This window comes from Homo sapiens, chromosome 14, assembly GCF_000001405.40.
Source record: "Homo sapiens chromosome 14, GRCh38.p14 Primary Assembly".
NCBI lineage: Eukaryota > Metazoa > Chordata > Mammalia > Primates > Hominidae > Homo > Homo sapiens.
The window spans coordinates 55001846-55014134 of record NC_000014.9 but is presented as its reverse complement, the minus strand read 5'-3'; the positions used below and the strand labels follow the sequence as shown (position 1 = coordinate 55014134).

General features: G+C 38.3%; 1 protein-coding gene and 1 pseudogene across 3 annotated transcripts in view; both read left to right on the top strand.

Moving 5' to 3' along the window:
* WDHD1 (WD repeat and HMG-box DNA binding protein 1) overlaps nucleotides 1-12289 on the top strand; it is an 88151-nt gene that overhangs the window by 12965 nt on the left and 62897 nt on the right. For all 3 annotated transcript variants that reach the window (NM_001008396.3, XM_006720012.2, NM_007086.4), the window contains 6 exons: nucleotides 539-650; nucleotides 3675-3826; nucleotides 5416-5527; nucleotides 5769-5819; nucleotides 6760-6855; nucleotides 11950-12042. In NM_001008396.3, coding sequence (NP_001008397.1) covers nucleotides 5444-5527; nucleotides 5769-5819; nucleotides 6760-6855; nucleotides 11950-12042 — 324 coding nt within the window. In that variant the 5' untranslated portion in view covers nucleotides 539-650; nucleotides 3675-3826; nucleotides 5416-5443. The remainder of the gene's footprint in view (nucleotides 1-538; nucleotides 651-3674; nucleotides 3827-5415; nucleotides 5528-5768; nucleotides 5820-6759; nucleotides 6856-11949; nucleotides 12043-12289) is intronic.
* On the top strand, nucleotides 8372-9380 carry RPSAP13 (ribosomal protein SA pseudogene 13; annotated as a pseudogene).

Genomic DNA, 12289 nt, shown 5'->3' with positions numbered 1-12289 from the left:
ATGAGACTCTGCCTCAAAATTTTATAATTTTATGCCAAAGAAGAACTAGAGTATTAAACTCATCTTTTATTTTATAGAAGGAAATTAGCACTTTATTTTTAAAGTTTAAGTGTATAAAATGAGAAAAAATACTGGCTAATGTCTTCATTTTGTGAAAAAGTGGTAAATATAGAAGTAGCATTCCAAAAAACTAATGTATATGAAACTAGGTGACTTTTTTTTTTCCTTGAGATAGAGTCTTGCTCTGTTGCCCAGGCTGGAGTGCAGTGGTGCCGTCATGGTTCACTTGCAGCCTTGACCTTCCAGGCTCAAGTTATCTTCCTACTGCAGCCTCCCAAGTAGCTGGTACTACAGGTACACATAACCATGCCTGGCTAATTTTTTAATTTTTTGTAGAGACTAGGTCTCTCTGTATTATCCAGGCTAGTCTTGAACTCCTGGCCTCAAGCAATCCTCCCACCTTGTACTCCCAAAGTGCTAGCATTATAGGCATGAGACACCATGCCCGATGACTTTAATTTGTGTCTTTTCTTCACAGTTTTATTGTGACTTGTGGAAGTGATGGTGATGTGAGGATTTGGGAAGACTTGGATGATGATGATCCTAAGTTCATTAATGTTGGAGAAAAGGCATATTCATGTGCTTTGAAGGTAGTAAAAACAGTTATATCAATTGATATGAAATGATACTGGCATGTGATTTTTATGCTTGAGTGAAAAAATATTTTTGAATATAGATATACCTTTGTTTATCTCATGAAATAATATTTTAAAATGTATGATAATGCCGTAACTTGCCCTACCATTTTTTTTTGAGATGGGGTGTGAAAAATATTTTTGAATATAGATATACCTTTTTTTAATCTCATGAAATAATATTTTAAAATGCATGATAATGCCATAACTTGCCCCACCAATTTTTTTTTTTTTTTTTTTTTTTTGAAACGGGATCTTGCCATGTTGCTCAGACCGGTCTCAAACTCCTGGGCTCAAGCAGTCCTCCCAGTTCAGCCTCCCGGGCAGCTAGGACTGTAGGTGCATGCCACCATACCTGACCACCCCAAAATTTGTGGTTTATTAAAAGTGATTAATGGACATGAATGGTGAACCAATTAAAATAAATGCAGGAAAATAATACTTCCAAGAAAGGTTTAAATGTTCCCTTTTTTCCTTTAAGGGAAAACTCAGTGGTGTTTTTAGCTCACTGCTATGATTTGAATGTGTTCCCCTAAAAGCATGTGTTGGAAACTTAATCCCCAACATAACAGTGGTGGGAGGTGGGGTCTACTGAGAAGTAATGAGACCATGAGGGCTCTGGCCTCATGATTGGATTGATGCCACCATCTCAGGAGTGGGTTCATCATAAAAGGGTGAGTTTGATCCTCTTGCTCTCCCTCTCGCCCTCTCTTTACCTTTCCAAGATGGGATGATGCAATAAGAAGACCCTTGCCAGATGCCAACCCCTCAATCTTGTAGTGTCCAGCCTTCAGAATCATGAGACAATAAATTTCTGTTCATTGTAAATTACCCAGTCTGTGGGATTCTTATAGCAGTACAGAACAGACTAAAACACCTACTGATTCAGATAACTTAAGGAATTGTTCTAGAAAACGGGAATGTTTCATTAACTTTCCCAATATATATTCATATGTGTTTCTGATGTTTTGTGTAACGCAAATATGGGAATGAGATGTAGGTTACTTGGAGAAAGAAGACTTATTCAGAAGGACTTTGGAAATTAATTATCTATAAACCCCTAAGCTTTTTATTTGTGATGACTTTTAACTTGAGTGTATTGTGTTTAGGTAGAAAAATCTTTCCACAGAATTCATATTTTTTCCAAACCCAGGCGCATTTAAGGTAGATAAGATGATGTTTAGATATTCTTTTTAAAATGATCATATATAATTAGAAAATGCGTTCCCAGAAGAAAAAATGTAAATGACCAACATACATTAAATGTAAGCTAAATCTTACTAGTAAGCAAAGAAATGCAAATTTTAAAATTGGATTTTTTTTCCCCATAAGATTGGCAAGGATGAAAAATATTGCTAATCCCAGTAATAGTGAGGGCTTTGAGAAGTAAGTATTATCATACATAGTGGCTGGATACATAAGTGAGAAACTTTTTTTTTTTAGAGCAAATTGATACCGTGTATTAAAATTAGAATGTACACAGTCATTTCTGGCTATTTTCAAGTTTATGTGGAAAAGGATAGTAAAAGCACAATTCATAACAATAGCAAATGTCGGAAACAATTGAAGGGTCTTTCAATTGAGAAGTTAGTTTATAAATTTTGGTGGAGCCATATAATGGAATACTATGCAGCCATTATAAAAGTAGGGTATCTATTTTCATCAGAAAATATATTTATAATAAGTTGAAAATAAGTTTACAATAAGTAAAAAAAATGAGATTCAGAACAGTTAATATAGTGTAATCTTATGTTTGTTAAAATAAATAAATACATATATATATACACACAAACACACACACGAATATAACAAAATTAAGAAGACTTAACCCCAAAATGTTAATGGAGATTAATTCATAAAATAAGGAACTCACCCTCTGCTCAGGATACTTTTTTTTTTTTTTTTTTTTTTTTTTGAGACAGAGTTTCACTCTTGTTGCCTAGGCTGGAGTGCAATGGCGCAGTCTCAGCTCACTGCAACCGCCGCCTCCCGGGTTCAGGTGATTCTTCTCCCTCAGCCTCCCAAACAGCTGGCTGCCCACCACCATGCCTGGCTAATTTTTTTGTAATTTTAGTAGAGATGGGGTTTCACCATGTTGGCTAGGCTGGTCTCGAACTCCTGACCTCACGTGATCCACCCGCCTTGGCCTCCCAAAGTGCTGGGATTACAGGTGTGAACCACCACACCCAGCCCCAATACTTTCATATTGTCATTTTTTTCTGTTCAGTGAGCATGTACTGCCTTTGTATATGAAGAAGACTGTAAAGGAGGAAAAAGTAAACATGGTCTTGTATTAGTTTACTAAGGCTGCTGTAACAAATTGCCACAAAGTTGGTGGCTTAAAACAACAGAAAATTATCTCACAGTTCAGAAGGCAAGAAGTCTGAAATCAAGGTGTCGTCATGGTTGGCTCTTCCCAAGGCTCTGAGGGAGAATATGTTCCATTCCTGTCTTCTGGGTTCTGGTGGTGTGGCAATCCTCAACATTCCTTGCCTTGTAGGTATATCACTGCAGTCTCTGGCATGGATGCTGCATTTAGACTTTACTCTAAAAAGACATGTGATGTGTCTTTTGTTGTGGAAACATAGGGCAGTGGCCATTGTGGCCGTGCCTTCTGATGCCTTCTCCTCATTTTGAGACTAGCTCTGTTTTCTCTGAAAAGCTCTCTTGAGTCTCCTTCCTTTTTATAACACTTAGGATCCATAGAAGTACTATTCAAACATTTTTCTTACCAGAAGTAAAAGAAAAATTAGAGGCTAAGAGATAGGCTGCTTAAGGTAGAATTAATTTTTCTAAAGCTAGCAAATTTTTCTTGCTAATGCACATTCCAGCAAAGTTGTACATTTAGTGATAATTTTTCTCTTGATATGAACTAGATTTTTAAGGTTTTTTGTTTTTTACCGGATTTTTAACTATGGAGAGACTCCCAGTCATTTGGATTTGTTTTGCTAATGTTTCTTACCTTAATTTTTCTTTTAGAGTGGAAAACTGGTCACTGCAGTTTCTAATAATACTATTCAAGTCCACACATTTCCTGAAGGAGTTCCAGATGGTATATTGACTCGCTTCACTACAAATGCAAACCATGTGGTCTTTAATGGGGATGGTACTAAAATTGCTGCTGGATCTAGGTAAGGCTCTTTGACATCAGAAAAGGAAATAATGTTAGAACAAAAGGCCTTGTTTATTTGTTTCAGGGTAGTGTTTTCAGGACCGTGACTTAATTTTTTGTTGTTTGTTGTTTCTTCATATATTCTTTTATCTAGTAAAGGTTTTTGAGGACAAACTTGGGCTTCTTTTTGAATTGAAATATATTGCTTTGGCCGGTTGTGGTGGCTCACGCCTGTAATCCCAGCACTTTGGGAGGCCAAGGCAGGCAGATCACCTGAGCTCAGGAGTTCAAGACCAGCCTGGCCAACATGGCAAAACCCCGTCTCTACTAATACAAAAAATTAGCTGGGTGTGGTGGCGGGTGCCTGTAATCCCAGCTACTCGGGAAGCTGAGGCAGGAGAATCACTTGAACCTAGGAGGCAGAGGTTGCAGTGAGCCAAGATGGTGCCACTGCATTCCAGCCTAGGCGACAGAGTGAGACTCTGTCTCAAAAAAAGAAAAAAAGGAAAGAAATATACTGCTCTGCAGATGGGCAGATGGCCTATTTTATAATACTGAAAGCATAGCTTGATGGAAAATTTAAAAAAATTATTTTAGGGCTGGCGTCGTGGCTCATGCCTGTAATCCCAGCCCTTTGGGAGGCCAAGGTGGGCAGATCACCTGAGGTCAGGAGTTCAAGACCAGCCTGGCCAACACAGTGAAACCTCGTCTCTATTAAAAATACAAAAATGAGCTGGGCATAGTAGCGGGTGCCTATAATCCCGGCTACTTGGGAGGCTGAGGCAGGAGAATTGCTTGAACCCGGGAGACAGAGGTTGCGTGAGCTGAGATCACGCCATTGCGTTCCAGCCTGGGCAACAAGAGTGAAACTCTGTCTCAAAAAAAAAAAAAAAATTATTTTACTTAGAACTTGGGCTGTACAGTCAGAATATTTTGGAGTTTCTCTTGATGCTTCTTTGTCATAGGAAAACAATATAGTTGGTTGAATTGCTGAGGTGAAGTGAAAGGTATAGTACTTTTAAAAATGGTTGTAGCTATAATTAGATTAGCAAATAATAGAAGCTTAAGATGTAACTAAAGAAGCCATTTAGGAAGTGTTTGTATTTTAGCATAATGGGAAATCTTGACTTGTGTTTTCAACATATTTATAGAGCAAAACTAAAAGGTAAGCCATTAAATTTGGGTGCCAAATTTTATAAGTTGCCATAAAGATTTTGTGATTTTAAAATACTTGGACAGGCGTAGTGGCTCATGCCTGTAATCCCAGCACTTTGGGAGGCTGAGGTGGGCGGATCACAAGGTCGGGAGTTCAAGACCAGCCTGACCAACATGGTGAAACCCCATCTCTACTAAAAATACAAAAATTAGCTGGGCATGGTGGTGCACACCTGTAATCCCAGCTACTCGGGAGGCTGAGGCAGGAGAATCGCTTGAACCTGGGAGGCGGAGGTTGCAGTTGAGATCGCACCACTGCACTCCAGCCTGGGTGACAGAGTGAGACTCCGTCTCAAAAAGAAAAAAAAAAAAAAAGAAATATTTGGATCATAGCTTTTAGGAGAGGCCTTTGTGTTAGCATTTATTCATTTGCGTTACTCTTTTTGTTCTTAGTGATTTTCTAGTCAAAATTGTGGATGTGATGGATAGCAGCCAACAGAAAACATTTCGAGGACATGATGCCCCTGTTTTAAGTCTTTCCTTTGATCCTAAGGACATCTTTCTGGTAATTATTTTTTCCTTCTCTTTTTGTGTTTTTCCTGAATATGTTTAAAAATATATTTCCTACTAACTCTCTAAAAAATTTTCTGCTAACTCAACTTTTCAACCTTTGTTTTATTCAGTAAGAGAGTTAGCAGGAAATTTCACCCAGTTGATAAAAGGGCTTTTTGATTTAATTAATTGAACCACTTTCCATGTAGTATTATGGCTATGACTATAGAGAAATGTATTGTTTATTCCTGCAGGCATCAGCTAGTTGTGATGGATCTGTCAGAGTGTGGCAAATTTCAGATCAGGTAAACTCAGCAATTTAAATTTAAAGTTTTTTGCCCATTTCTGTAATAAATTGTTATATGTCGTATTACTGGGCCAAATTAATAATTGCTTTTCTTTGGAATTTGTTTCTTTGGTACCATTAAATACTGTTTTTGTGATCAAAGTCCACAGTATTCTAGTGCCAAATAAATACGTTGAAGACTAATTGCATTTTTACCTAATCACAAGGGGAATGATAATCTTATATTTAACTTTTTAAGTTTTGTAAATGAAGGGAATAAATTCAGTTATTTTATATTTACAATGTAATGACCATGCGTTGGGCCTTGGGTTAGATGGTTGGGGATAAAAAATTATGGGTCACATTTGATTTGGAGAGTCACATATACAGTTTATTCAAATGCAGCCTAATAAAGGTTTTAAAGGAGGTACGAAATAAGGTGTTCTCCAGATTGGCAGAGGGAACAGTTAAGTCTGCCCAAGGCAATCCAAGATGGCTTGGCATTTCTAGAGAGAATATGAATGTAATTGACTAGAGAAATATCCTCCACAAATATGCCTTAATATCCACAGTTCCTTCCCTTCATTCTTGAGCTATTTAAAAGAAGCGACTTTGACACTTTAACATTTTATAGTAGACCATTGAAGTTTTATTTTTGTAGTCATTCTAAGAATTTCACGTATTGGGGTTTTGTGTATGTGTGTATGATTATTCAATGAGTATATCATTTGTTTATTCTGCACAGAAAATACTCTAGTTATTTAAGATTTGTACTCATCATACCTTTGAAGGACTTAAAGCAGTTTAGGTATATCAGGTATTATTATAATTAAGGTGCATTAAGTTGCATTTTTCTGAGATATATATTGATTTGAAGAACCTTTAAATATATTCAGTTCTGCATATATTTTGGGGGGGATTTTCATAAAGGAAAGAAATTTTCTTTTTTTACCAATTAGACATGTGCTATTAGTTGGCCACTGCTACAAAAATGCAACGATGTGATAAATGCAAAATCAATCTGCAGACTTGCTTGGCAGCCAAAAAGTGGGAAGGTAAGTGATTCTTATTTTTCTTTTCTTTTCTTTTTTTTTTTTTTTTTTATTAGAGATGGAGTCTCACTCTGTCTCCCATGCTGGAGTGCAGTGGTGCAATCTCGGCTCACTGCAACCTCTGCCTCCCAGGTTCTAGCAATTCTCCTGCCTCAGCCTCCCGAGTAGCTGGGATTACAGGTGCACACTGCCATGCCCAGCTAATTTTTTGTATTTTTAGTAGAGAGGAGGTTTCATCGTGTTGCCCAGGCTGGTCTCGAACTCCTGAGCTCAGGCAATCCACGCACCTCAGCCTCACAAAATGCTAGTATTACAGGCGTGAGCCACCGTGCCTGGCATGATTCTTATTTTTAACCTTTGTTTTATTCAGTCCTTTTCAACTTTGAGTGTAAAAATAGTTTTTTTAATTACTTTTTAAAAATTTGGATTATAAATTTTAGAGTACCAAGCCAAATAATTAGTATTGAAATGCTTTAAGAAACATTTGAACTTTTTCAAGATTCATTTTGAAGTATAAATTTTGCATGAATGAATTAATTTTATATTTTTGTTCACATTCATGCTTAATGGAACAACTCTGGAGACAGTCTTATTATGTCCATTCTCACCATTAGTACCTAACATTTTGGAGGTACTAACTGATACAGTTAGACAACAGAAAGATATGAGAAATTTGAAAGGAAGAAAGAGAATGTTCATTATTTGCAAAGGAAATGTTTGTATATGAGTAAATCCCAAGAAAATCAACTGGGGAAGAAAATCATTACTACTAATAAGAAAATTTAGTAAGGTAACTGGAAGCAAAATTGTTTGTATACAGGATTGTTATACAAATACAGGATTGTTATCCTGTATACAAACAATAGCCATTTAGAAAGCATGTAGGAAAAATAATGCATTTACTTTTAAATTGAAAAAGATACAGTAACAGGTTAAATGTACAAGAAATGTGAAAGATCTATATAAAGAAACTTTTAACATGCTACCAAGAGAAGTAAAAGAAGACTTGGATAAATAGAAACATATATTCTTAGAAAGGAATTATTTGATATAAATAAAGATGTCAGTTCTTCCCTAAATTAATCTATAGTTTTGATAACATTCACATATAAAACAACAGCCTATGTGTGGTGGCTCACACCTATAATCCCAGCACTTTGGGAGGCTGAGGCAGGAGGACCGCTTGAGCTCAGGAGTTTGACACCAGCCTGGGCAACATAGCAAGACCTCGTCTCCACAAAAAAATGAAAATTAGCCAGGTGTGGTGGCATATTCCTGTAGTCCCATCTACTTGGGAGACTGAGGCAGGAGTATCACTTGAGCCCAGGAGATTAAGGCTGCAGTGGGCTATGATCTTGTCACTGTACTCCAGCCTAGGCAACAAAGCAAAACCCTGCCTTAAAAATAAAATGTCTCATCTGAAGGCTCTAAGGAAAAAAAAAAGAAAACAAAGTAAAATAAAGTACCAATAAGATGTCTAGGAGGACCAAATTGAGCTGATTCTAAAGCCCATGAGGGCTTTCTGCACTACCCAGAGAAGGATCCTTATGATGTTGTTCTGGATTCCCATCGTAACTTAAAGGGAAACTTTCACAATGTCTAGAACCTCTATGTCCTGCAAATGAAGGAGGAGGATGTCCTTAAGTTCCTTGCAGGAGGAACCCACTTAGGTAGCACCAGCTTTGTCTTCCAGATGGGACAGTACATCTATAAAAGGAAAAGTGTTGGCATCTACATCATAAATCTGAAGAGGACCTGGGAGAAGCTTCTCCTGGGAGCTTGTGCCATTGTTGCTGTTGAAAACTCTTTCAATGTCAGTGTCATATCATCCAGGAATACTGGTCCGAAGGCCATGCTGAAGTTTGCTGCTGCCACTGGAGTCACTCCAGTTGCTGGCTGCTTCACTCCTGGAACTTTCATTAACCAGATCCAGGCAGCCTTTTAGGAGCCACAGCTTCTTATGGTGACTAATCCCAGTGCTGATCACCAGCCTCTCACAGAGGCATCTTATGTTAACGTACCTACCATTGCTCTGTGTCACACAGATTTTCCTCTGTGCTATGTGGACACTACCATCCCATGCAACAGCAAGGGAGCTCACTCAGTGGGATTGATGTGGTGGATGCCGATCCAGGAAGTTCGCATGTGTGGCACCATTTCCTGTGGGAGGTCATGCCTGATCTCTACTTCTACAGTGTTCCTGAGGAGATTGAAAAAGAAGAGCAGCCTGCTGCTGAAAAGGCTGTGACCAAGGAGGAATTTCAGGGTGAATGGACTACTCCAGCTCCTGAGTTCGGTGCTCCTCAACCTGAGGTTGCAGACTGGTCTGATGGTGTGCAGGTGCCCTCTGTGCCTATTTAGCAGTTCCCTCCTGAAAACTGGAGTGCTCAGCCTGCCACAGAAGACTGGTCTGCGGCTCCCCACTGCTCAGACCACTGAATGCATAGGAACAACCACTGAGTGATCTTAAGCTGTTCTTGCACAGGCTCTTAAGCAACATGGAAATAAGGTTGATGAAAAATAAACATTGGGTCGGGCTCGCTGGCTCACGCCCATAATCCCAGCACTTTGGGAGGCTGAGACAGGTGGATCAGTTGAGGCCACGAGTTCAAGACCAGCCTGGGAAACATGGCGAAACCCTGTCTCTACTAAAAATATAGAAATTAGCTGGGCATGGTGGCACATGCCTGTAATCCCAGCTACTTGGGAGTCTCAGGCATAAGAATTGCTTGAACCCAGGAGGCGGAGGTTGCAGTGAGCCAAGATCACAATACTGCACTCTAGCTCAGGTGATAGAGCGAGACTCTATCTCAAAAAAAGAAAATAAACATTGGTTGCTAAAAAAAAAGGGAAAGTCCATGTGGAAAATGAAAAGTTTTGAAAAAGAAAAGTGATGCAAATAATTCAGTTAGATAATAAAACATAAAGTTATGAGAATTATAAGTTTGCTATTGAGTTATGAATAGACACATACCTGTTAAAGAGATAAATAGAACCAAATGTATATGGAAAGTTAGTGTATATAAAGGTAGAGAAAAGGAGATTTAGCAAATGTATTAGCACAAGGATATGAATACCAGGAAGTGGAGTGGGAATCTTTGAGGACCATCTTGGAAGCTTGCTTCTACATGATGAGTCTATATATAGGTATTTACTATATTATTATTTCAACTTTTCTATTCTTTTGAAATTTTTCAGGAAATAAAATTAATAAAGTAGATTGTATAAAAAGTAAATAGTTTTGCATGGTACAAAATATTAGTCACAGTACAAATGACAAACTGGGGAAGAAAATTTGAAACAATAAAACAGAGCTAATTTCCATAGTGTGCAAAGTATTCTTACAAATCAATAGAAACCCATTAGAAAGATGAGCAAAGACATGAGCAGACAGTGTACATAAAAAATATACAGTTGGTAGCTGGGCACAGTGGCTCACGCCTATAATCCCAGCACTTTGGGAGGCTGAGGCGAGTGGATCCCCTGAGGTCAGGAGTTCGAGACCAGCCTGGCCAACATGATAAGACCCCGTCTCTACTGAAAATACAAAAATTAGCCAGGCGTGGTGGTGTGCGCCTGTAGTCCCAGCTGCTCGGGAGGCTGAGGCAGGAGAATTGCTTGAACCTGGGAGGCAGAGGTTGCAGTGAGCCAAGATGGCACTACTTCTCTCCAGCCTGGGCAACTATATATATATAGTTCGTTTTTCTTTCTTTTTTATACATATATACACAATTGGCTTTTAAAATTATTTTTTCTTTCCTTTTTTTTGAGACATGGTCTCACTCTGTTGCCCAGGCTGGAGTGCAGTGGCATGATCACGATTCACTGCAACCTCTGCCTCCCGGACTCAGTTCATCCTCCCACCTCAGCCCCCAACCCGAGTAGCTGGGACTAGAGGCACGCGCCCACAATGGCTGGCTAATTTTTTTATTTTTTGTAGAGACAGGGTCTCATTATGTTGCTCAGGCTAGTCTCAAACTCCTGAGCTCTAGTGATCTGCCTGTCTCAGCCTCCCAAAGTGCTGAGATTATAGGCCTGAGCTACCACACCCAGCCCATGTGAACTTTTAACAATGTACATTCTAGATTTAAGTGATAATTGAGCTCAAGGAAATGTAGTATGTATTTTTTTTCTTTGCTTACAAAAAAACCTAATTTAAAAATTTTTTAAAATAAAGTTTTTATTATATGTTACTAATCCTTTTTTGGATAATCATGGAAAGAATACACAGTTTTATTTTTTCTACTAATCAGTTTCTTCAGAATAATGCATAAGAAGATACATTTCTTGTTTTTCAAGATATTTGAAGGATTCTGTCTTTATTTTCCTCAAACAAATGGGAGGAATTTTTATATCAGAAGGACCTAGATTCCTTAAGAAGTAGTATTGAAGGTCAGGCATGGTGTCTCACGCTGTAATCTCAGCACTTTGGGAGGCTGAGGCAGGAGGATCACTTGAGGCCAGAGTTCAGTATCAGCTTGAGCAACACAGTGAGACCCCATCTCTACAAAAAAACAGGAAAAAAATTAGTTGGGCTGTAGTCCTAGCTATTTGGGAGGCTGAAGCAGGAGGATCCTTTGACCCCAGGAGTTTGAGGCTCAGTAAGCTGTGATCACACCACTGCACTCCAGCCTGGGTGACAGAGCAAGACTGTCTCTTGGGGGAAAAAAAAGTAATCATATTTAAAGTACTAGTAATTACAAGTTCTCCATTTTTTGGGTGCAAGCAATAGAGTGATCACCTTTATTTTTTTCTCTTCCCATGACAAATTATCACCTATTTTTTGCTTATTGAAGTTTTAAGTAATGTTCTGAGTTTCATTAGTTGCCAATTAAAATACAGATTTGCGCCTGGCACAGTGGTGTATGCCTGTAGTCCCAGCTACTTAGGAGGCTGAGCCAGGAAGATCCCTTGAACCCAGGAGTTAGAGACCAACCTGGGCAACATAGTGAGACACCGTCTCTTAAAAACAGAAACAATAAAAACTAATTTGCTTTTATGTCTTGTAAATATATCTGAATGAATTTTGTGCCTTTTTCCTTCTTCAAATTCAATTTAATGTAAACTTTTGTTTACGTTGTTTATCTTTTCTAATAGTTACTGGCAATTCCTGTGGAAAAATCTGTTAAGCTATATAGAAGAGAATCTTGGAGTCATCAATTTGATCTTTCAGATAATTTCATCTCTCAGGTAGGTTTTACAAAGTGACACTTTCAGTGGGCTATAAGGAGCAGTTAATGCGTAGTTTGCCTGAATACAGTTGCAGTTAAATATTATTGGAATGGAAAACAACTCCTGGCTGTTGTATGTGGTCCATCTTCTAACAGCTCATCCTTTCTTCATTTGATCAATAACTGGATACTAAATAGGTCTTTGTTATAAGAAGTCAGATTTAACCCTTGCATAGTATTAGAACAAGTTGTTCTAAAATGATCAG